We start from the raw sequence: 24,340 nt of genomic DNA on the forward strand, positions 1-24,340 counted from the left end.
GAGACAGGGTTTCACCATGTTGGTCAGGCTGGTCTCGAACTCCTGACCTCGTGATCCGCCCTCCTCAGCCTCCCAAAGTGCTGGGATTACAGGCATGAGCCACTGCGCCCAGCCTATAAATGAACACTTCTAAGAAAGCCTAAGAAGTTATGAGAAACTATTAAGCTCTAGGATAATTGGTTTGTGTTACTATTCTTATGCTTGCTGTCACAGTTTGTTTCTCTTTGAGTTTCATTTTTTTCTAAATGTCTCCATATATCAAGGCTTAGAAATTTAGATACAAAGTTCAGATTCTGACTAACTTGGAAGAGGAGATTAGATTGGAAAGAAAATCTAATTCACTTGAAGATATTCCATTTTTAGAGGTGCTTTGTACTTAAGTAATTTAAACTTGCTCTAAACCTTATCCAGGGTCCTAATGTAATCACAGAACCCTAATGTTGGAAAGAAACTTAAACATCTTCTCCAACTTTCCTGCTTTATAGCCATATGATTTTTAAAAAGTTATTAGTTGGACTGAAGATAACTGTATTTGAAATAAATTTGTACATTTATGACCAGGGCAGTCTGCCAAGTTAGATGTGAAAAAGTATGTTTTTCTTTTTTTTTTTTTTTGAGACAGGGTCTCCCTCTGTTGCCTAGGCTGGAGTGCAGTGGTGTGAACACAGCTCACTGCAGCCTTGACCTCTTAGACTCAAGGAATTCTCTTGCCTCAGCCTCCCAAGTAGCTGGGACCACAGGAGCACACCACCACACTGGGCTAATTTTAGTTTTTGTAGAGAGGGGGTCTTGCCATGTTGCCCAGGCTGGTCTCAAACTCCTGGGCTCAAGTGATCCTCCTGCCTTGGCCTCCCAAAATGCTGGGATTACAGGAGTGAACCATTGAGCCTGGCCTTTTTCTTTTCATTAGAAGAAAATAAATGTAATCTATAAGCCACAATAAAGCTCATCAAAGATACATTCACCTCTCTTCTGCACCCCCAGCTCAACCAATCAGTCAAGTGTTTCTTCAGTCCCTAACCTGTGACTTGCTAGGTCTTCTGATGTTACTTAGAAGAAAGCTACCAGAAGACCAGAATCACCAGCATGGGGTTACAGGAGAGTCTGAAGACATCTGTAGTCTTCAGTCCCAAAAGAAGTCAGCCTCCTCCTCTAGTGGAACCCTGAGCTTGAACAAAGGCAGAGACTGGAAAGCAAACAGAACTACTCTTTTTTATATTACTATAGTTGTTCTATTATTTTTTTCACTTCAATTTAACAAAGGTTTGTTGAGCATTTACTATGTGCTGGGCCCTGTGTTCACTCCCAGAAATGCAAAGGTCAGCAATTCTCATGGTTAAGGACCTCACACTCATGTAGGAGAGACAGGCCTATTATGATGAACTATAATGCAATAAGAGCCAAACATCCTAGAGAAAGTCACTTTGCTTCTCTGAGCCACCTTTTCTCAACTCTAAGGTGTGAGCAGAGGTGGTGATGATGGCATTAGCTTCTATTCTCAAAGGAAGAGGAGTAAATATAGTAATGCATTTTAGAGCTTAGTAGAGTGCCTAGTACACAGTAGGTGCTCAAAACATGGGTTGGAGGGCTCTGGGAGGACTGTGAGGGAGGTCTTCCCAGAGGAGGAGGCATTTGAATAGGCCTAAAAGATGAATAAGAGTTTGTCAGACACAGATGGGGAAGATATTGGGGCTCTTTTTGTTAAGCAGCTACCTAGATATTTAAAATTCCAAAGGTCAATATGGTCCTATACAGAGCAGTGGCGTTCTACATATATACATTTTTCCACTGAAACAGTGGTGCAGCGTGCAGCAGAATCACCTGAGGAATGATTCAGAGATGCTGATGCCAGGAGCCATCCCCAGGAATGCTTAATCAGCCATTTGGGAGGGTGCCCAGGAATCTGGATTAACAAGCTCACCCAGTGACTTTTAGGAAGTCAAATACTCCACTCAGCGTCCTTGAGGGAAGCCTCGAGAAGATGCTGATCACAACTCCGGGCACAGCTGCCGTTTTTGAGGATGCTTCACGTTTGTACAGGGCCCTGATCCTTACTGATTCACCATCCAGGTACAATTAAAAACAGCACTTCAGTGCCAGTGAAACCAATTCACCAGCTTATATTTATATGGTGACTTTTTGAGCCAGATATGGTATGGGATAATTTCCATCCTACAGGTTAATAAACTGAGGTCAGGAGAGAGAAGCAATTTGCTCAAAGTTACATGGTTACAGCGTAACACTCTGAATCCAGGATTCTAATTCCTAGGGCAAAGCCTTTTACATACACTGTTCAAAGGTTGGTGGCAAATAGGTTACATCTCACTTGCCATCCAGAATGTCTGGTAGTGTCTGCTTGGAGCACTGTACTGAGAAGGACTGCACAGCATAGCAAGCCAGAGAATGCTGTGATCACAATCAGCAACACGTGCTGGGCAATGAATTGGGGCATGGCAGCATGGGCGTCCTGCTGCCTAGAGTAACCCCATGCCCTTCTTGAGTTCTGCTTCTCCTGCCTTGGGAGGCTACAGTATTATACCTGAGATCTTGGGAGGTATCAGGAGGAGGTTGAGACTCTGGGATGTTATCTGTAGAGTAGAAATAATGCCTTCCAGGTTAGGGTGTTGTGAGGATCATAGATGTTGGGCGACAAGACCTGGCACATAGTAGGTGCACAGTAAGTGGCAGCTCCTGTTATGAATTGCCCAGACCATAGGCTACACCGATACATGCTGCAACCTGGTATTACCAGATTATTGAGTTTTATGGTGCTACAGTTCCATTCCTTGAGCTCAATGATTTTGTCAACCTGACATGTTGACAGTAGCCTAGATGCACATTGATGCAGGAAAGTGAATAATAAGAGAAGCTCCTCTCCTCACAGGCATGCAGCCCTCTCCAGACCAATTCAACACACTACCCAGCTTTGGAGCCAAGCCTCATGAGTTCCCCCAACCCAGTTCCTGCCAGATACTGCCACCTGCTCCAAGTGTCAAATCCAGAAGACAAATGGCCTCCAATGGTCTTTTTAATTCAGCCATAGACAGTCAATCTGGGATAGAATGATCTCCTTAAGGAACCCACATGTTTTATAAAATAAAAACTGCATGAATTATGAAAATGAATTTTCTTTTCAATTTTCTTACATAGGGAGGTGACTGACCACTGCCAGCAACAAAAAAGTAGCCTGAAGTTTAAACTCTGGGCTCAGAACGAAAATTTCACAAACCATCACTAAGTCACTTGTTCATTTGCTCTGTGTTCACTGAGCACTTTTGACACGCAAAACCCCATTCTGGGTCCTTGGATATAGCAGTGAATGAGCCAGGCATGTTCCCTGCCCACTAGTTTGGAGTAAAAATAAAACAAAGTAATTACAGATTGTGATCTCTGTCATGAATGAGTCAGATAAGGTGCTAAGACAGAGGCTAGCAGGGCAGACCCATTTTAGAAAGATAATTTTATTTAATTGTTTTCTGGGTTTTGGTTGACCTTTTCATGAGACATAAGCCCATGAAGGCAGGACTTGGTCAGTCATGCTCACAGTCCCAGAGCCTGGGACAATCCCTGGTACACAGCCAGCTTCCCTTAAAATAGGATTTCTGGATTTTGTTGATCCTCTTGGTCCTCCTCCCTTTGCTTGTCTTCTTCACTAATTGCCCAACTCGAGAGGGCCACAGGAAGAGAGAACAGAAAGGACCTGGTGAAGAAGGGCGTACAGATGGAAACACCACATAAAGACATTTCACGCTCTACCCAGGAACTGGGATTTCTAGAATATTGGGGTGTTGACCTCATGCCAGTGATCTACAGAGTAGCTCATGGAAGAAATCACCAGTTGGAAATAAGCCACGGAAACATAAACAAATGAGCATCTCAGAAAGCAGAGAGTGCAACAGGACACGGCACTCACTTTGAACTTCACTGGAGCTACTACTACTAATAATTCACACTGATAATAATGAAAGCTTTAGCCTATTGAACGCTCACTACATGTCAGGCACAGAGCTAAATCCTTATATGCATGATCTCATTTGATCCTCATAACTACCCCATGAGGTAGGTGGATAATGGTTATCATCTCCATTCTACAGAGTAGGAGATGAAGGCTCAAAAAGGGGCAGGAATTTGTCCAGGGTTTCATGATTAGCAAGTGGCAGAGCCTGGATTCAAATCCAGGTCTTTCCTACTTCAAACTATGTGCTTCCCCACCATGCTGTCCCGTCCCAGAGTCTGGGATGGCACATCAGACCTGCACAGAAGGTCTAGGAAGGTGTTGAGCATGAGGAATATGGCAAGAAAATAACCTTTATTCTACTAGAGAGACTGGTCTTCAAGACCACAGCACACACTGTCTAGACCAAATCAATTTTGTGGTCCTTTCTAGTTTTAAGAGCTATCAGTGTCTGCTATCAGGTAGCAGGCATTGGTGGCAAGCACTGGTGGCAAATAGGTTACGTCTCACTTGCCATCCAGAATGTCTGGTAGTGTTTGTTTGGAGCACTGTATTGAGAAGGACTGCACAGCATAGCAAGCCAGAGAATGCTGTGATCACAATTAGCAACATGTGCTGGGGAACGAATTGGGGCACAGCAGCAAGGGCGTCCCGCTGCCTAGAATAACCCCATTTCCTTCTTGAGTTCTGCTTCTCCTGCCTTGGGAGGCTACAGTATTATACCTGGGATCTTGGGAGGTATCAGGAGGAGGCTGAGACTCTGGGATGTTATCTGTAGAGTAGAAATAATGCCTTCCAGGTTAGGGTGTTGTGAGGATCATAGATGTTGGGTGACAAGACCTGGCACATAGTAAGTGCACAGTAAGTGGCAGCTCCTGTTATGAATTGCCCACAGGAAGTAAAAAATGCCATTTTACTTCCTCTGCATAAAAAACCACTGATCAGTTACCTGGGGGCGTTCCCAGGCAGGAAGGGCACTGTGTGTGAACTGTGCATTTGCACACTTGGTCTGACAGGTTCCCAGCCAATTTGAGGAGCCAAGGACCCACCCTGTTATTCTTGTCAAATTTACTGAAGCAAAGGCACAGTCCACTTCCCTTTCAACCATGAAAACAAAGCACCTTCGGTGAGCCCAATAATTGTGCTGTAGTCTCTGCACTCTGATTTCAGCACATAACTTTAACCCCTCAGTGCCCTGTGCTGAGCAGTAGGTCAGTGAATAATTTCTAAATGGGTGACTAAAAGAAAGAATGAATAAAGGAGGCCAGTGTTTTTGAGGTGACACCTTTCCCTTTCATTAACCACCTGGTGGCAAAAGGGCAGCCAAAATTAAATCAAAAACCTCAAAAGTGAAGGTCATTGAAGGCTTAAATTCTTCAACCTCAAATCTCCTTGGAGAAAAAACCTGCCCATTCAAGCTAAGATTCTTGTTTTTCAAATAAGAGCTTTTTTTTTTTTTTTTCTTACCAGCAGGGGCATTTATTTTCCTTAAAATGCACAGACATGTTAAAAGAAATTACAGTTGTTTAGACATTGGTCCAAGTGGGACATTGGCCATTTCCACTCCTACGAAAAGGAATGTCAGATCTGTTCAAGGGTGAGGCACATCCCTGACCAACGAATCTATCCATGTACTGCCCTGGGCGACAGTCTGGGGACTCAGTCTCTGTGCTTTAAGAGCAAGTAATCCAAGATTGATAACACCTCAGATGGAAAGGGAACATCCAGCTGAACCAAACCCTAAATGAACTTAATGGGCACCTGACCCCTTTGTCTCAATGCCACGTGCCTATATGGGGGTGGGGAGAAAGGCAGTTACAGAGGAGAATTTGTGGGCACAATAGACCTGCATGTAGTCTCTAAGTCCTTAGCCCTGCAGGTTATATATTTGCTATAGACCACTTTCTAGAAGTGCTCAAGTGCTGAAAAAACCCTACCACTGCTTCTTAAAAAAGCAACCAGGGGCCAGGCATGGTGGCTCACGCCTGTAATTCCAGCACATTGGGAGGCCGAGGCAGTTGGATCACCTGCGGTCAGGAGTTCCAGACCAGCCTGGCCAATATGGTGAAACCCCGTCTCTACTAAAAATGTAAAAATTAGCTGGGCATGATTGTGTGCACCTGTAATCTCAGCTACTTGGGAGGCTGAGGCAGGAGAATCGCTTGAACCTGGGAGACGGAGGTTGCGGTGAGCCGAGATCGCACCATTGCACTCCAGCCTGGGCAATAAGAACGAAACTCCATCTCAAAAAAAAACAAAAACAAAAACAAAAAACAAAAATGACCAGGGGGTCCCTTTGCTAATTTGCAATAGAGCAAAGTCCTGTGCATATTCCAATGGGAGGTCTCATGGAGATATGGGTATTCCTGGAAGGATCAAGTGAACATTGCCAGAGACTCGTTACTGCCTCTGCTTGAGAGATCCTGCTAGCTTGACCTTCACCTGAACCTTTCGACCCACTTTCACAAACATTATTGTTTCCAGGACACTCTGTGGCTATCTCTTTTTAGGGTTGGCTACCTTCTGATATCACAAGGCAGACATCTGAATCTCATCGGTAAATAACCCATGAACAAACTGCCTTTTCGGTTGTCCTGGGGAAGATTCTCTGTGAAAAGCACTGATCCTATCCTTACCCGACAACAGATTCTCAGAAGAGCTGGCCGTGGTCCAAGCCTGAATAGCGTGTCCTTACCTGGCTTAACTTCCATCCTCTCCAGACCTCCTTTGAGGTTTTGAGAAAATCACCAGGTGCCTTCCAATACAAAAGTGGAGGGAAACAGACGCTGGAATTGGGCACCTACTATGAGCCAAGGACTATGCTCTCAGTTTAATGGATTGTGCCATTTAAGCTTCTCCTCAGCCCGGTTTAAGTAAGCCTTGTGGTGTTCATTTTAACAGAGAGGAACGCTGAAGCTCAGGAAGGTTTTAGTAACTTGCTCAAGGTCACAAAGTGAGTGAGTGCTGGAGAGAGGATTTTCTGGAGGCCACCCTGACTGCCAAACCACTGACCTCTCTGCATATGATGCTATTTCTCTTTGTACATTGTTTAAAAACAATCTGCGTTTCCTTTAAATTAATACATACAAATAAGGTAAAATACATTTAAATATTTGTTTCATGGCTGGGCGCAGTGGCTCATGCTTGTAATCCCAGCACTTTGGGAGGCCGAGATGGGCGGATCACCTGAGGTCAGGAGTTTGAGACCAGCCTGGCCAACATGGTGAAACCTCATCTCTACTAAAAATACAAAAATTAGCTGAGCGTGGTAGCGTGCGCCTGTAATCATAGCTATCCAGAAGGCTGAGGCAGGAGAATCGCTGGAACCCAGGAGGCAGAGGCTGCAGTGAGCCAAGGTCGCACCACTGCACTCCAGCCTGGGTGACAGAGCAAGACTCCTTCTCAATAAATAAATAAATAAATACATAAATAATTGTTTAAAATCATATGTGTTTTAAAACAATATAAAAAGACCCACAAGGCATTTACCTACATACCTCAAAGAAACTAAGAGCATAAATGAGACAGTTCAAAATGCAGCTCCACCTTTGCTACTTGGTGTGACCTTGGGCAAATTACTTCTCTATTCCTTCATTCACTCAACAAATATTTACTGAGCATTTACTATGTGCCAGGCAGGTTCTAAGTGTATGGGATACGTCAGTGTCTATAAAGCAGTTCTATAAGCTTTGGTTTTCTCCATCATGGGGTTATTTCAAGTATTAAAAGAAATAAAATATTTCGAACAGAGCCAGACATATGGCAAGAGATTTGAAAAATGTAATTATTATTGCTACTGCGGTTATTACCGTAATTACTATTACTACTGCTGTCACTGCTGGCATAATTATTTTGTTGTTATTTGATGTTGAGAGTCAGGCAGGGAGGGTATTAGAGATGGCAGGATCCTGCAGAATGATGGGCAGGAGACCTGGTACGCTGCCTGACTCTTTCTAACTACCCAGGTCCCAGAGGACTATCCACAAACACTCTCAGGATACCTTCAGTCACATTTGCACTGTGTCGTTCCCACTTCTTTCACAGAGACAAGGGCTACTGCAAGCCTGACTTAATTTTAAATGGCCAAGATTGAACTGATTAGTGTCAGAACAACCCTGTTATTTAATCACTGGGCTTTTCTATTTAATAACCAGGTGACCAGAGCAGCAAAAACGTACTGATTGAGAGAGTGCAGCTCCTGACTTGGCAGCAAATAGTCCCTGATTAGTCATTTGTAATTATTAAATTCAAACCAGATCTCGAACCTTTTTGATTTATCTCTTTGCTGGCAAACAACTTTGGTGGTTTCAGAGGCTTTGATGCCTTGCCTTTCATCTGCTCTTTCTTTGCGGAAAGATTAGCAAAAGGATTTTGTGTTCTTGTACTTGCCCTTAGCTGGAACTTGACTTGCTAAATTCACGTTTTAGCAGGGAGAGGATCCACATTTTGTTCTTCTCCAGTCTGAAGCTCCAGAAGTGAATGAGAGAATTGAAAGAAGGAGCACCAACTCCATTTTTAAAAAGTAAAAAAAAAAAAAAAAAATAGAGACGAGATCTCCCTATGTCTTGCAGGCTGGTCTCAAACTTCTGAGCTCAAGCAATCCTCTCGCCTCCACCTCCCAATGTGCTGGGATTACAGGTGTGACCCACCGTGCCTGGCCCCTACTCCATTTTTAGTACACTGCTTTTTTTTTTTTTTTCCTTTTCCTTATTTTTAAAACATCCTCCTTTTTCTAGGATCCAGGAACCCCAGTCCTTTTTTCTAGGCTGTCTTCAGTGTGCTGACAGGGTGGAGAAATGGGAAATCATGATGTTTTCAGAGCTACGGGGAACTAAATTTTAACAAATATAATATGCAATTATGTGCTCAGATACCACTAACTATAGGTTGAAGATGTTAGGTAGACTCTAAAGTCAGTGTTTGTGAGTTTACATCTTAGTTAAGCCATTTATTTGTTGTGGAACCTTAAGCGCATCATTTTACCTCTCTGCACCTTAGTTTCCTCACCTATAAAATGGGGACACGAATAGTACCTCCCTCCTAAGGTTACTGTGAAAGTTAAATAGATCAGTGTGGGTAAAGAGCTTAGCACAATGCGTGGCCCTCAGCAACTACTCAAATATTAACTATTAATGGTAATAGTAGCAACAGCAGCAGTAACAGCAAGTAAGTACAGGCACCGGGGGGAAAATCATGGGGAAAATACTTAAAATGTCTAAAAGTCTACTCATTAATTTGACGTTGGCAAACTAGGAAAAGCCCCTATTATATGATCTTAGCCATGGAACACCTGGCCCTTAACTTGTTTGGAGGTACAGATGAGACAGTCTTAGCCAAGGAAAGATCCTCTTCTCCCACGGGAGGGAAGACATGTCCAACCAAACAAGTGGGAGGAGGGAGGAGACCTAGCCAGCCTGACAGTGCCACCACCAACCCTGATGGCTAACAAGCAGCAGGATTCACTCTGTCATTCAACAAACATTTACAAACTGCTTTTCCCTCCAAAACACTCAAGGCCAGGGGAGCAGGAGAAAAGACAGAAAACTCATCTATCCAGGATAGAGGGCTGCCAAATATATTTTCCAGAAAAATTGTCCCAGAAAAAAAAAATACGGGCATCGATCTAAGGTGGGAGAAGGAGTCCATATTCACAAGGATTTTCAACAGTGGATGTGACGCAAAGCACAAAATTGCATTAACCAGAGCACTTTTACTAGGCCTTCTAAATTACTGTAATTATTATTTTCTACTGGTTCTCAGGTACACCAGATTGGACTCACTGCAATCCTTGGTTCATAATATGCTATGGTGCTTCCTTGGCCCTCCTTTATATGTTTATTCACTTATTTTTTAAACACTATAACAAAATCCTACTTATTAAAATTCTTCACTGATGCAATGATTTGAAGCCATTATCAACAAAAAATATTATCTATATATATGCAGTTTAGGGAATGTCCAAATCATTGTTTAATTTCTAGAAAACTACTCCATGTAAACAATCAGCTTAGATTGTCCAACTGCATAATTCAAATTCAAAGTGCTCATCATCCACAATAATACTGGGAACCTGAATTTACAAAGACAGTTGTCAGTTTTTCGTTCACTTGGCTCGTGTTCCCGCTTTCTCCTACCTAGAAATGCTCCTGGTTCTGGTAATGTCTTATCAGCCACAACACCCCATGGGTTCATGAACAGTTCCCCAAATGCCAACGGGCAGGCCTTTAACCCTAGGGAGAGCACAGTGCAAAGCTCCCTTTCAATCACTGGTGTCTGGAACACCTACTCCTTGGGGCAATTTGCCGCACAAAGCAGAGATGAAAAATGGTAGAGAAACGGGCTGCTCTTGTCAAGCTGTCCTCTAAAGGACATTCCTTTAAATAAACAAAAGGTTCCCTTGTACAACCATTTGGTGTTGTCTACCATATAAAAACTCACAACTTCAGTTGCCAAAATTCCATTTCTTTATTGTATATTCTGGCTGCTTAAGGTAGTCCCTTCCCTTTGCTGGGATTTTTTATTTTATTTTATTTTTTTAGAGATAGGGTCTCACTCTGCCACCCAGGCTGAAGTGCAATGACATGATCACAGCTCACTGCAGCCTCGAACTCCTGAGCTCAAGGGATCCTCCCACCTTAGCCTCCCAAGTAGCTAGGATTACAGGCATGTGCCACTGTGTCCAGCTAATTATTTTACTGTTATGTAGAGATAGGATCTGTTTTTGTTGCCTAGGCTAGTCTTGAACTCTTGGGCTCAAGTGATCCTCCTGCCTTGGCCTGCCCAAGTGCTGGGATTACAGGCATGAGCCACCACGCCCAACCCCTTTGCTGGGCTTTATAACAACTGTCTATTAAGAATCCACTGCCAGCATGGCACAGTGGCTCATGCCTGTAATCTCAGCACTTTGGGAGTCTGAGACGGGCGGATCACCTGAGGTCAGGAGTTCAAGACCAGCCTGACCAACATGGTGAAACCCCGTCTCTACTAAAAATACAAAAATTAGCCCGGCATGGTGGTGTGCCCCTGTAGACCCAGCTACTCTGGAGGCTGAGGCAGGAGAATCACTTGAGCCTGGGAAGCAGGGGTTGCAGTGAGCCGAGATCGCACCACTGCACTCCAGCCTGGGTGACAGAGCAAGAACAAGACTCTGTCTCAAAAAAAAAAAAAAAAAAAAAAAAAAAAAAAAAAAAAAAAATCCACTGCCTTGCTGGGTGCTTTACATGTATTATAACCAATCCTTACAGCTGTACAAAGAAGTTATTACATATAAGGAAACTGAGACTTAAAGAGTTTAAATGACTTGACTAAGGCTGCTCTAGGAGTATCAGAACCGGTCACTCGTGTAGCAGATACAGCCGGCTGACAACCCCTGGGCAATCACCATTTCCCTGCACACCGTGTGGAAAGCACACAAATCAGCTTTCCACAGGCCAGAAATGCCGGAGAATTAATGCCACTGGGATCAGCTTTCAATCTATGAGGGACTGGGGCTGGCAGATAAATAATCCAGCTTCTGACAGTTTGGTGGGACAACTCTGAGGTATGAGCTCAGTCTTGTACACTGGAATCACCTGGGTCCGCTCAACTGTGTTCTTTCTGAGAACAGACACTGCATCTCTTTTGTTAACCAATGTATCTACGGCATTTGCACAGTGTCTGACACATGGTAGATGCTTAATAAAATATTGTTGAATGAATGAAACTAAATAGTGAAATTAATTTATCTGAGTATCCTACTGTTCCTGTGTTTCTATTGTCAAAATTCAGAAATATTGTGGGCCCCAGAATAAAAAATGATATTTTATGTACTGTATTTCTTGGCATTTTAGTTCTCCTGAAAAGAAAGTTTAGGCCAGGTTTTGTGGCTCAAGCCTGTAATCTCAGCACTTTGGGAGGCCAAGCAGGGAGGACTGCTTGAACCCAGGAGTTTGAGACCAGCCTGGGTGACGTGGCAAGACCCTATCTCTTTCTCTCTTTTTTAATTATAAAAAATTTTAAAAAAATTCTATGGATTTGCCATTTTATGGGCAAATGGGTTCATTTGTTCACATATAGCAGTAGTTGAACATTCTCTGTATGCTGGGTTAGGCCTTAGAAATGTCCACGAAAGTCCTAAAAAAGAATTCCACTCTTGGTAAAACACTGATTTCCTGGGAAATGGATTAAATGCTGGATAAACATGCTTTGATTCTGCAAACGCCAGGTCTCCGTTTCAGACTTCAGGATAAAAGTGATTGGGATGAACTTTGAAGCAAAGACTCCGGATTAGAAAATTTAGCCCAAAGTACTTTCCCCCATCCCTGCAGCCCATTTGTGGCTCACCACAACTTTTGCTTTTTACTCAGAACTTGACAGAACATGACAGTGTCACTAAAGAAGGCGTACCCTGAATACCTGCATGTCCCTGGTGTTTAGGGGCCCTCTACCTCCCTCCCTCCCTCCCTGTAATTTGGGGTTGTGGTGAACCCCTCCTCCACTTTCAAAGACAGCTGCAGGAAGAAAATGTCCCTCTAATCGCAGCTGACTTCTTTCCAGGCGCTGCATCAGAAATGGGAACTGGCTTTCACGTTATTGTTCTGACAGATTCTCTACGGACTATCGCCAAGAGCATTATTCCCGAGTTAGTCATGACTACTCTGAAAGACTGGTGGCCTCCCCTGTGCTGAATGAGCTCTAGCTGGGCAGAGAGAGGGGCCTTTGTCATAGAAATGGTCCATGGCTGCTCCCGAGGCTCCAGTTGCCTCCAGTGCGGACATACAGAAAGAGGCTGTGTTGGCATATTCAGGTCCATTGTTCTTATTTATTTATTTATTTATTTTTTTTTGAGATGGAGTCTTGTTCTGCCACCCAGGTTGGAGTGCAGTGGCGCTATCTTGGCTCACTGCAAGCTCCGCCTCCTGGGTTCACGCCATTCTCCTGGCTCAGCCTCCCGAGCAGGTGGGACTACAGGAGCCTGCCATCACACCGGGCTAATTTTTTGTATTTTTAGTAGAGATGGAGTTTCACTGTGTTAGCCAGGATGGTCTTGATCTCCTGACCTTGTGATCCACCTGCCTCGGCCTCCCAAAGTGCTGGGATTACAGGCATGAGCCACCGCACCCGGCCATTCAGGTCCATCGTTCTGAGGGAAAGAGTATTCATTATTATGCAGTTATTTTCCTTACAGTTGTTTCTTTCCTACTGAGAGACAGGGGCATCTTTAAGGATAAACACCCAGCCTCTTGGAAGAGTTTCCAGTTTTGTTTGGAAGAGAGCTATTTTTGATTAAATAATTCTGAAATTATCTTCTTAGGCCTTAGGAATTGTGCCTCAGCATGAGGGCCTGCAGGCACAGGGGGCTGGCAGATCCTGCAGAGCTGGCGGCAGCACGAATGGCCTGATGCCCTCTGGAGTTGTGTGGTGAGAGTATATTAGATTCCCTGAAGAGGAACAAAGGAACACAGGCCTTTTTCTTGGGGAGGGCAGAGTGTGCAGTTTATTTGAGAATTTATTTTATTTTTGGCAAGTTTATTTTAATATAGTTTCAAACTTATAGAAGGTTTGCAAGTCCAGAATAAGATACTCCTGAAAATCCTTTACTCAGTGTCATGGCTGCCTACAGCTGACCTCATTTGCTCCCTCTCTCTCTCTTTCTATACGTATGAATATAAAATATTTTTCTTCCTAATTATTTGAGAATGAGTTGCAGACATTATGTCCCTTTAGACCCTAAATACTTCAGTGTGTATGTCCTAAGAACAAGGGCATCCTCTTACACAGGATAATTATTATCAAAAGCAGGAAACTTAACATTGACAAAATGTATCAACTCGTTCACCACTTTTTTTAAAAAGGTGCCAACTATTCCAATAAAATGTTTCATAGCTATTGGTTTTCCTGGTCCAGAATCCAACTGAAGGCCCTGCATTGATTGCATTTACTGTCACGTGTTCTTGAGTCTCCTTGAATCTGGAACAGTTCCCCAGGCTTTCTTTGTGTTTCTTGATTTTAATGATTTTGAAGAGGACAGGCCAGTTACGTTGTATAATTTCCCTACCTGAGGGTTTACTAGATGTTTTTTCATGATTAGATTCAGGTTGCACATTCTAAAAATGTCTAGAGTAATAAGAGAATATTTTTTTCATGTGGTGTATTTTTCACAGGAATATGACAGAAGTGACAATGTAGAGTCTTTCTTAGCACATCACCTCAGAAGACATGTGGCATTGGTTTGGCCCAATATTGGTGACATTGGCTTAGACTATTTAGTTGAGGTGGCATCTTCTAAATTTCTCTACTGGAAAGTTACTATTTTTCTGTTTTTAAGTAACCAGCAAATTGAAAATATGGAAGTGTCTTCTTCCTCATGAAATGTTAACACACTAGTTTTAGTGTCCACTGACGATTTTTCAACTCTATCATCCCTTCAATGTTTATAAGTTATTCTTCTACTGGAGGGAAGAGCTTTCCATTCTCCACCATTTATTTATTATTTACATCCATGTTGGCTTATGGATTCCAATTTTATTTAGTGGGTTATGATCCGTTACTATCATTTTTCATTTTGATGCTCAGATTGTCCCAGACTTGGCTAGGGAGAGCCCTACAACCTGGTGCCTGTGTCCAGCTTGTTCACATGCCCATCATTCTTAGGGCACTTCATTACTTTTTGATACAAAAAGATGTTCCAAGATCTTCCTATATTCTCCCTGCCCCAGTCCTGGAATCAGCCTTTTCTCCAAGGAACTCTGGTTCCCTTTAGTGGAGGAGTATTTAGAAGCCAAGATCTGGGCACTAGTTATGTTTTTGCTACGGGGGTGCCACTGCTTCTAGGCCCTCTCAGTAGATACAGGGAAAAAACATGCATGTATATATGTATAACCATGAACTCATTCTGATGCTTTCATTTCCAATCTATCTATATGTATCTTTTTTTTTTTTTTGAGATGGAGTCTCCCTCTGTCACCAGGCTGGAGTGCAGTGGTGTGATCTCGGCTCACTGCAACCTTCACCTCCTGGGTTCAAGCAATTCTCCTGCCTCAGCCTCAGCCTCCCGAGTAGCTGGGACTACAGGCATGCACCACCATGCCCAGCTAATTTTTGTATTTTTAGTAGAGATGGGTTTTCACCGTGTTAGCCAGGATGGTCTCGATCTCTTGACCTCGTGATCTGCCCACCTCGACCTCCCAAAGTGTTGGGATTACAGGCGTGAGCCACCATGCCCGGCCCTATTTTTATTTATTTATGTATTTTTTATTTTTGAGACAGGGTCGCAGTTCTGTTGCTCATGCTGGAGTGCAGTGGTGGCATCATAGCTCACTGAAGCCTTGACCTCTGGGTCCAACTGATTCTCCCACCTTGGCCTCCCAAGTAGCTGGGACTACAGGTGCACACCACCACGCCCTGCTAATTTTTGTATTTTTTGTAGAGACGGGGTCTCATTTTGTTGCCCAGGCTCGTCTCGAACTCCTGGGCTCAAGCAATCCTCCTGCCTCAGCCTCAAAGTCTTGGGATTATAGGCATGAGCCACTGCACCTGGCCTGTATCTATTTTAAAAAACATTTTTAGGTATGTCTTATTTATTTATTTATGAGATGGAGTCCCGCTGTGTTGCCCAGGCTGGAGTGCAGCGGCATAATCTCAGCTCACTGAAACCTCCACTGCCCAGGTTCAAGCAATTAGCCTGCCTCGGCCTCCTGAGTAGCTGGGATTACAGGCATGTGCCACCACACTGGCTGATTTTTGTATTTTTAGTGGAGAGGGGGTTTCACCATGTTGGCCAGGCTGGTCTCGAACTCCTGACCTCAGGTGATCCACTCGCCTTGGCCTCCTAAAGTGCTGAGATTACAGGCATGAGCCACAGCGCCTGGCCAGTCTTCTTTCTTTAGTAAGTCTTCTTTCTTTTATGTTTACCTGCTGTTAGTTTGGAGTTCCCCTAAAGCAGATCCTGGAGCAAAGATGTAAGTATCAGCTGTTTTCTTCTGGGGTGATCCCTGGAAGAACTGGTGGGGAGTGGGAAAATGAGACAAAGAAAAGGAGGGAAGCCAATAAAGAGTATGGAGCCATCAGGTTACAGCCGTGGGCAGCCGGCATTCAACCCACTGGGGACCCCCTGAGAGCATATAAAACACACTTCATGGCCAGGCGTGGTGGCTTACGCCTGTAATCCCAGCACTTTGGGAGGCCAAGGCGGGCAGATCACGAGGTCAAGAGATCAAGACCATCCTGGCTAACATGGTGAAACCCCGTCTCTACTAAAAATACAAAAATAGCTGGGTGTGGTGGCACACGCCTGTAGTCCCAGCTACTCGGGAGGCTGAGGCAGGAGAATGGCATGAACCCAGGAGGTGGAGGTTGCAGTGATCCGAGATTGCACCACTGTACTCCAGCCTGGCGACAGAAAGAGACTCCGTCCCAAAAACAAAAAACAACAACAAAAAAACACACCGCATAATTCTCCACTGAGGGGTGAGGAGGTGGGAGTTTCAATCCACCAACTCCTCCCCTCATTGATGGAAAGGGGCTCCTCAGGATGTTAGCTTCCCTGGCTAGAAACCCTGCCAGGTAGAAGGACATAGAAAGTCAAAGATGTGGACAGGAGGCCCTGCAGATGGCATCTGAAGTGGCCTCGGCCATATGGGTGGGGCACCGGGAGAGTCAGCTTATGTTCTTTACCCAGCAACAGATCACATAACAAGAAAGTTATTACTTTGTCAATTCATTGTCCATCGTAAATCCCTCAAAGAGAAATGCTCAAATTGAGGATACTTCACCTTGAATACTCCCCTAACGTTTACCATGCCCAATCTTTCTCTTCTACGTACAAAGAGGCTCAGACAATAGCACCTAGTTAGAATTTATTTACATTAGTTTGTGCATATTTTATTTTGATACTTATCTATTTATGGCAAGCATACTGGTTTTTTGTTTACCATAGTAATATAAACTTTCCATTAAATATAAATATGAAAGAAAAAATACATTGTTTTACAGAAAATTATGAAGCCTTTTTCAGGTCAAAGGTGATTCACAAATGAGTGGGACTTAGGAAACACTTTGTGGAAGCTCCCTCTCTTAATTGTCACACAAAGTAACTGTCCCATGCATTTTGCTGCTGTGACAAGTACAGAGAAAGCAACTCTCTGTTCCCCTATGCCCTGAGATGACTGAAAAGGGACGCCTCCTTTTTCCCATCCTTTTTGGAGAAGATGTGAACCACTCCTGGCACTGTAACCCTCTGTCTGCCCAGTCATGGATTAAAAATGAAATTCATATCTAATAGGTCTAACTTTAGCCACAGGAAATGGGAGTGCTTGGGCGACCCAAAAGCGTTCGCCATCCTTTGTTTGAAGATGGGCACGTTATCTTTACCTAACCTTCTTCCTTCCCCTTTTTGGGAGGGGAGAGAGTGGAGGCTAGGTTTGGGGAGTGAACGGGAAGTGAAGGCTGATGGATCTGTTTCCTGGCTGGCTTTGTAGCAGAGGCCCCACCTCCCAACTCCCTTTGTTGTCACAGTCCTGGCTTGCAAATGTATATTACATATTGTTAGGACCAAGTGATGCCCACTTTTGGATGTGTTATAACAACAGGTATTTGGATCACGAAAATCACCCAAGTGAGAAATCTAAACACCCTCTATACTGGAACCATCTAGATACCTTGATTGCAGATAAGAAATATTTTTGTAAAAACAAAACAAAACAAAACAATACAGTTGGCTGGGTGTGGTGGCTCACACCCGTAATCCCAGCACTTTGGGAGGCCAAGGCGGGAGGATTCCTTGAAACCAGCCAGAGTTTAAGACCAGCCTGGGCAACATGGCAGAACCCAATCTCTATATATAAATTAGCCAGGCATGGTGGCACGCACTGTAGTCCCAGCTACTCTGGAGGCTGAGGCAGGAGGATTGACTGAGCCACGGAAGTCAAAGCTGCAGTGAGCCATGATCACACCACTGCACTCCAGCCTGGGCCACAGAGCAAGATCCTGTCTCAAAACAACACCACCACCAACGGTTAAACCTAGATATTTTTCTACTTCCATTTATACATTTTCTCCAGCTTTGTTACAATGTAGACAATTTATAGAAATCTGTTTTATGCTTTTAATCGGAAGTTACCAGATCACAATTGATGTTATCTTTTTCTTACCTGATACATAAGTAATAAAATAGAGCAACTGGGAACTATTATTACCTGGGTTGTCACCTGCTTTTTTAAGGCCATTGAACTAGCTTTGTGACTCCAGGCATTTCACTTTCCCAGTCTGGATCTCAGTTTCATTATCTGTAAACTGACGGAGTTGGCCCAGGTGACCTCTAAAGTTTCCTTCTAACATTTTATGCATTTATGACATTATGTGGCCAAAGAAGTTTTTGGGTAGGGGTGGAAAGTGGGTAATGAGAATGGCAGAGATTGGGAAACACTTTCCAGAAATAAGTATGAGACTCTCACTTTGTCTCAAAATCACCAATTATAACAACCCTATGCATAAGCAATGTTTTTGAAACATAAGGTCTGTGTTCAGATTCCAGCATAGACCAGTGCATGGCAAAAGAAGGTGATCCACAAATGTGTATTAAATACATGGATAAATGAATAAAGGCCCTTTCATTGGTGCCCTTGAGGGTCCAAGGCTAATGTCAGAAGGACCACTGACAAATGAGAGTGAATCAAAAATGCAAGAGATTAGAAGAAAGGGCAAAATGGAGAGTAAACAAGAGAGTGGCAAAGTATGTATATGTATATGTATATGTATATGTATATGTATATGAGTATGTATACGTATATGTACATATATATACATACTGTATATATATATATACAGTTGACTCTCATTATTCATAGTAGTATGTTCTATTAAGTCATTGTGAACACTGAGTTAATGAATACTAAACCATTGCTCCTGGGGGGAATACAGGGCTAAGTTTCTGTGAGCCTCTGGTTGTAATTTTTTTTTTTTTTTTGAGACAGGGTCTTACTCTGTTGTCCAGGCTGGAGTGCAGTGGCACAGTCACTGCTCACTGTAGCCTTAATCTCCTGGGCTCATGTGATCCTTCCTCCTCAGCCTCTCGAGTAGCTGGGACTATAGGCACACACCACCATACCCCACTAATTTTTTTATTTTTATTTCTAGTAGAGATGAGGTCTGGCTATGTTGCCCAGGCATGGCTGCAATATTTTTGTCAATACATAACCTTGTTTTATGTGTATTTCTGCTTAACGACACCTTATTTAATACATATTGTTGATTCAGTAGCATTGAACTCATGGCCAATGACACCATAACTCAAGCCTGAAAGAAGCTTATCTAACGTGTATTTTCTCCAAAAGGCACATCATAGCCCTCTTGTGCTTAGAAATACTAGACAGCATTTCAGCATTATACTTGAGAACCTTCTTACACACTGAAATCGCCAACAAAAAATACAATGTGAACAACATGGCACTAAACAGACCACAAAAAGGATACTTGTTTACAGTATGGGAGCTAGAACAAGAAGGCAGTGTATCACCTTGTTCATCTTCTGCTGGCAACGTGCTAAGGGGACTCAAATATTTTGCTGCTCTGCATGTGTCTGTGAATGACTGCACAAGTGCCATGAGTATTAATTCTGGCGTTAGAAACAGATTTTAGAGAGTAAGCAAACTTACAAATATGAAATCATAAGTAATGAGGATCTCATGTGTGTGCGCGCGTGTGTGGATAGATGGATGGAGATAGACAGATTTTTAAAAAAGAAAAGAAATGCATGAAATGAGAAAATGAGTGTTTCATTCAAAAGAGCTTTGCAGCTCACAGTGGGAGGCAGGCCCTGCACAGAGCAGAGAGAACAGGGCCACCCACAGAACTGTACCCCTCTCCCTACATCCTTTTTAGTCTGAGAGACACAAAGATACTTCAGGCAGGACTAGCTATATAATTTGCAGGACCTGACACAAAATAAAAATGTGGGGCCCTTTGTCCAAAAAGTACTGAGTTTCGAGATGACTATAGTAGAGCACTGAAGCGGGCACATGGCCCTTCTGAATGAGGACCCTGTGTGCCTGCCCAGGTTGCAGGCCAGTGAAGCTGGCCCTGGTTTCAGGCCTGCAAGAAGGCCTGACCCAGGTGAGGACATGTGAGCAGACCAGAGAAGGAGACTTATACTCTCACACTACACTTGTGTGCCCAAAGCCTTAGGTCTCAGCTTAATGCCTCAGACTGGGCCTTACCCCAAACACCAACCCAAGTCAGGCAACAGAGAGGCCTGTTTTCTCTTCCTTCACTGAGGACCCAAGTAGCCCCAAATGACAGCAAATGCCACAAGAACAGTAACAGCTGACTGGGCAATTTCTGTCTAAAATAAAGAACAGTGTCCCAGTTTTTTCCTCCTTCCTCATCCAGGGAAGCAGAATACAGAATTTGCTTCTGTGTGTCCCCTCTCTAAACATACACACACACACACACACACAGAGAGAGAGAGAGAGAACGAACCCCAAGTTTCCTGGTGACAAAGACTTCTGCTGAATTGCCTACAATTCAGAGTTATGCTCCAAGGTACAGAATGGAGGTAGGGGTCATCGTGGGAGAGGGATTAAAGCAAGATGCCATTTCACACTCTGGGATTGGCAAAATTGAAAAGTCTGATAATATGAAGGTTTGGAGACATCAGGGCTCTCATACAAGGCTAGAGGGAGAGTCACAGATTGGATAGCAACTTGACAGCTTCCAGGCATGCTGAAAATGTGAATGTCTTACTGCTCAGTGTTCCACTTTTAGAGAGATACTCTAGAGAATGTCTTGCCCAAGGGCACTTGCAGACATGTCCAGGATGTTTATAACAGCAAAGGACTGGAAATAACAGAAGCATCCACTAGTGGGAAAATGAAATATAGGACATGCACCAACATTCTCATCAGTCAAAACCAATCCATCAACTAAGCTCCTTCTTTAACAGACACCACCCATACCCTACTATGCACTTGGATATGCAAAGTGTACATCAGCTGCAGCCCTGCTAGCTCACCTCCTGCCTGACCCTTGTTTGGATAGCTGCATTTGTTTCCCGGTAGTTTATTTCAATCCAACCAGAATTAAAAACACACAGGGCCTGCCTGCTTCTAGGCCAGTGGTTCCTGAATTTTTTTTTTAATCTCAAGATGCTTTTATACTTTCAAAAATTAGTGAGGGTCCCAATGAGCTTTTGTTTATGTTGGTTGTATCTATCAATATACACAGTATTAGAAAATAAAACTGAGAATTTTTTTGAGACAAGGTCTCACTCACCCAGGCTGGAGTGCAGAGGCATGATCACGGCTCACTGCAGCCTCAACCTCCTTGGCTCAGGCAATCCTCCTGCCTCAGCCTCCCAAGTAGCTGGAAGCAGGTACATGCTACCATGCCTAAATATATATATATATGTATTTTTTGAGACAGGGTCTAGCTCTGTTACCCAGGCCTGGGTGCAGTGTTGCAATCTCAGCTCACTGCAACCTCTGCTTCCCCAGCTTAAGCTATCCTCCCACCTCAGCCTCCCAAGTAGCTGGGACTACAGGCACGTGCCACCATGCCCAGCTAACTTTTGTATTTTCTTTGGTAGAGATGAGATTTGCCAGGTGGCCCAGGTTGGTCTCAAACTCCTGGGCTCAGGCAATCCTCCCACTTTGGCCCCCAAAGTGTTGGGATTACAGGCATAAGCCACTGCACCCAGCCTTTTAAAAAATTATTTGTAGAGATGGAGTCTCGCTATGTTGACAGGATGGTCTCAAACTTCTGGGCTCAAGCGATCTTCCCACGTTGGCCTCCCAAAGTGCTGAGATTACAGGCGTGAGCCACCAGGCCCAGCCAAAACTGAGACATTTCAAAAATATTTATTCTTTTAAAAATAAACATATTACTTGTTAATCTAATTACCATATTTTAATAAAAATTAACTATATTTTCAAAAAAACATGAGAGGAGTAACATTGTTCTCTGTTTTGACTACTCTAATGTTTGGCTGCACAGAAGACAGCTGGATTCATACATCTGCTCCTGCAATCAAGCTGCTATGATTTGTTATTTGGTCGACACATACAGAGACACATACAAAGAACATCTGTTTTGTATTTATGTCGTCAGTACCCTCTAGGCCTTGGGGACTCCTAGGGCTCCTCAGATCACACTTTGAGAACCACTCTTTCAGGCCACTCACCACTCCACCAAAGCTGTCATTCATACCAATACAAGCATGTTACTTCCCATTTCCTTCGAACCATTTCTGGCTCCTCTGGTTCAGAGTTAAGTCCAAACTCTACTCACAAAACCTCTCCCATCTAGCTAGTCATGCATGTCGAAACTCCATTACTCTGCTCTTTAATACACCGAATACTCTGCCACTGCTGGGTACATATGGATGACTGAACCCATCCCACTCATTCACGCCTTTGAGCCTCAGCCTTCCTCCTGCCTGAAGGACTCCTATGCATCTTTTACAATCCAGTCCAAAGGTCATTTTCTCTAGGAAGCCTTCTCTGATTCACCTTTCCCTTAGAGTTTTCTCTTTTTATTTTTTAGGTATTCATTTTTTGAATAGGTAATATACACATGCACAGGATTAAATTCCAAAAGGGTATAGGCACCATATGATGATGTCAACCTCTCTCACATCCCAGCCATCGCTTCCTTCTGCATTCTTCCAGACCAGCCCTAGACATAAATAAGCAAATCATCTATTTTACCCAATGCTAACACACTATAGGTACTGCTCTACACTTGCTTAACACTATATTTGGGAAAGCCTTCCATGCTATGAAATAATCAATTTTTTTCAGTAGTTGCAAATTACATTTTTAAAATGTGCAATAATGTATTTATTTAAGTCCCCATTGACTGAGTATGTATGTAGTTTCCAATCTTCTGCTGCAGCAAATATCCTTCTACATAAACCAGCCTACACGCATAAGAGACTCTGTAGCATTAATATCCAGAAACAGAACTGTTGGGGTCAAGGGAATGTGTATTTGTAAGTTTGCTAAACATTGCCAATTGGCCTCCATAAAGCCTGCTGTAATTTATACTCCTACTGGCCATGTATAAAAGGTTGTTCCCCTCCTCGAACAGCATTATCCAACTTTCTAATTTCTGCCAACATGGTAGGTGAGAAATGATACCCTGGTCAAGTTTAAACTGATATTTTTCTAATAACATCAAATCTCTAGAGTTGTGCTGTCCAATACGGGAGCCACTAGGTACATGTGACTGTTTAAATTCACTTCTTTTTTTTGGAGACGGAGTCTCACTCTGTTGCCAGGCTAGAGTGAAGTGGCACGATCTCAGCTCACTGCAACCTCAGCCTCCAGGGTTCAAGCATTTCTTCTGCCTCAGCCTCCCGAGTAGCTGGGATTACAGGCGCCTGCCACCACGCCTGGCTAATTTTTGCATTTTTAGTAGAGATCGGGTTTCATCATGTTGGGCAGGCTGGTCTCAAACTCCTGATCTCGTGCTCTGCCCACCTTGGCCTCCCAAAGTGCTGGGATTACAGGTGTGAGCAACCGCGCCCAGTCCAATATGGGAGCCACGAGGTACATGTGACTGTTTAAATTCACATTTTATCAAAATTAAATAAAATTTAAAATGCACCTCCTCAGCTGTACTAGTCACATTTCAAGTGCTCAATAGCTAACTGAGGCTAGTGGCCTCCATATGAGACGGAGCAGATAGAAAACATTTCTGTCGTCACAAGAAGCACTTACTGGTGCTCTGTGGATCCGCAGTGTCCGATGGCTACCGTAAGCCACATGTGGTCACTGACATTGAAATGTGGCTAGTCTGAATTGAGATGTGCTCTAAGTATACAATACTCACTGGATACTAAAGACTTGGTACGAAAAAGAGAATGTAAAACATCTTCTTAACAATTTTTATAGCTATTGCAGGTTGAAATGCTAGTATTTGGGCCAGGTGTGGTGGTTCACGCCTATAATCCTAGCACTTCGGGAGGCCGAGGCAAGTGGATCACCTGAGGTCAGGAGTTCGAGACCAGCCTGGCAAACATGGTGAAACTTCGTTTCTACTAAAAATACAAAAATTAGCTGGGCGTGGTGGCAGGCCCCTGTAATCCCAGCTACTCGGGAGGCTGAGGTAGGAGAATCACTTGAACCTGCGAGGCAAGAGGTTGCAGTGAGCCAAAATCACACTACTGTACTCCAGCCTGGGCGACAGAGCGAGACTCTGTCTCAAAAAAAAAAAAGAAAGAAAGAAAGAAAGAAATATACTGAGTTAAAATGTACTGTTAAAATTAATGTTGTCTGCTTCTTTTTACTTATTTTAATGTGGTTACTAAGAAACTTAAAATCGCGATTGTGGCTCACATTCTATTTTTTTTTTTTTTTTTTTTTTTGAGATGGAGTTTCATTTTTGTTGCCCAGGCTGGAGTGCAATGGC

The 24,340-nt window shown here is 43.4% G+C and overlaps 1 protein-coding gene across 16 annotated transcripts in view, besides 3 other annotated features; it reads right to left on the reverse strand.

Annotated features, from left to right (window-relative positions):
* The window catches only part of ARHGEF3 (Rho guanine nucleotide exchange factor 3), a 351,849-nt gene that overhangs the window by 155,283 nt on the left and 172,226 nt on the right, over positions 1–24,340 (reverse strand). The window lies entirely within an intron of this gene.
* Positions 4,829–4,888: a silencer, noted in NCBI's record as "silent region_14473". NCBI's record gives its function as "represses an Ori minimal core promoter by ATAC-STARR-seq in GM12878 lymphoblastoid cells {active_cell/tissue: GM12878}" and the evidence as "EXISTENCE:reporter gene assay evidence [ECO:0000049][PMID:35858748]".
* Positions 12,284–12,413: a silencer, noted in NCBI's record as "silent region_14474". NCBI's record gives its function as "represses an Ori minimal core promoter by ATAC-STARR-seq in GM12878 lymphoblastoid cells {active_cell/tissue: GM12878}" and the evidence as "EXISTENCE:reporter gene assay evidence [ECO:0000049][PMID:35858748]".
* Positions 12,459–12,753: a silencer, noted in NCBI's record as "tiled region #9226; K562 Repressive non-DNase unmatched - State 24:Quies". NCBI's record gives its function as "represses a minimal TATA promoter and a strong SV40 promoter by Sharpr-MPRA in K562 cells {active_cell/tissue: K562}" and the evidence as "EXISTENCE:reporter gene assay evidence [ECO:0000049][PMID:27701403]".

Source organism: Homo sapiens, chromosome 3 (genome assembly GCF_000001405.40).
Source record: "Homo sapiens chromosome 3, GRCh38.p14 Primary Assembly".
In the NCBI taxonomy this organism is placed as follows: domain Eukaryota; kingdom Metazoa; phylum Chordata; class Mammalia; order Primates; family Hominidae; genus Homo; species Homo sapiens.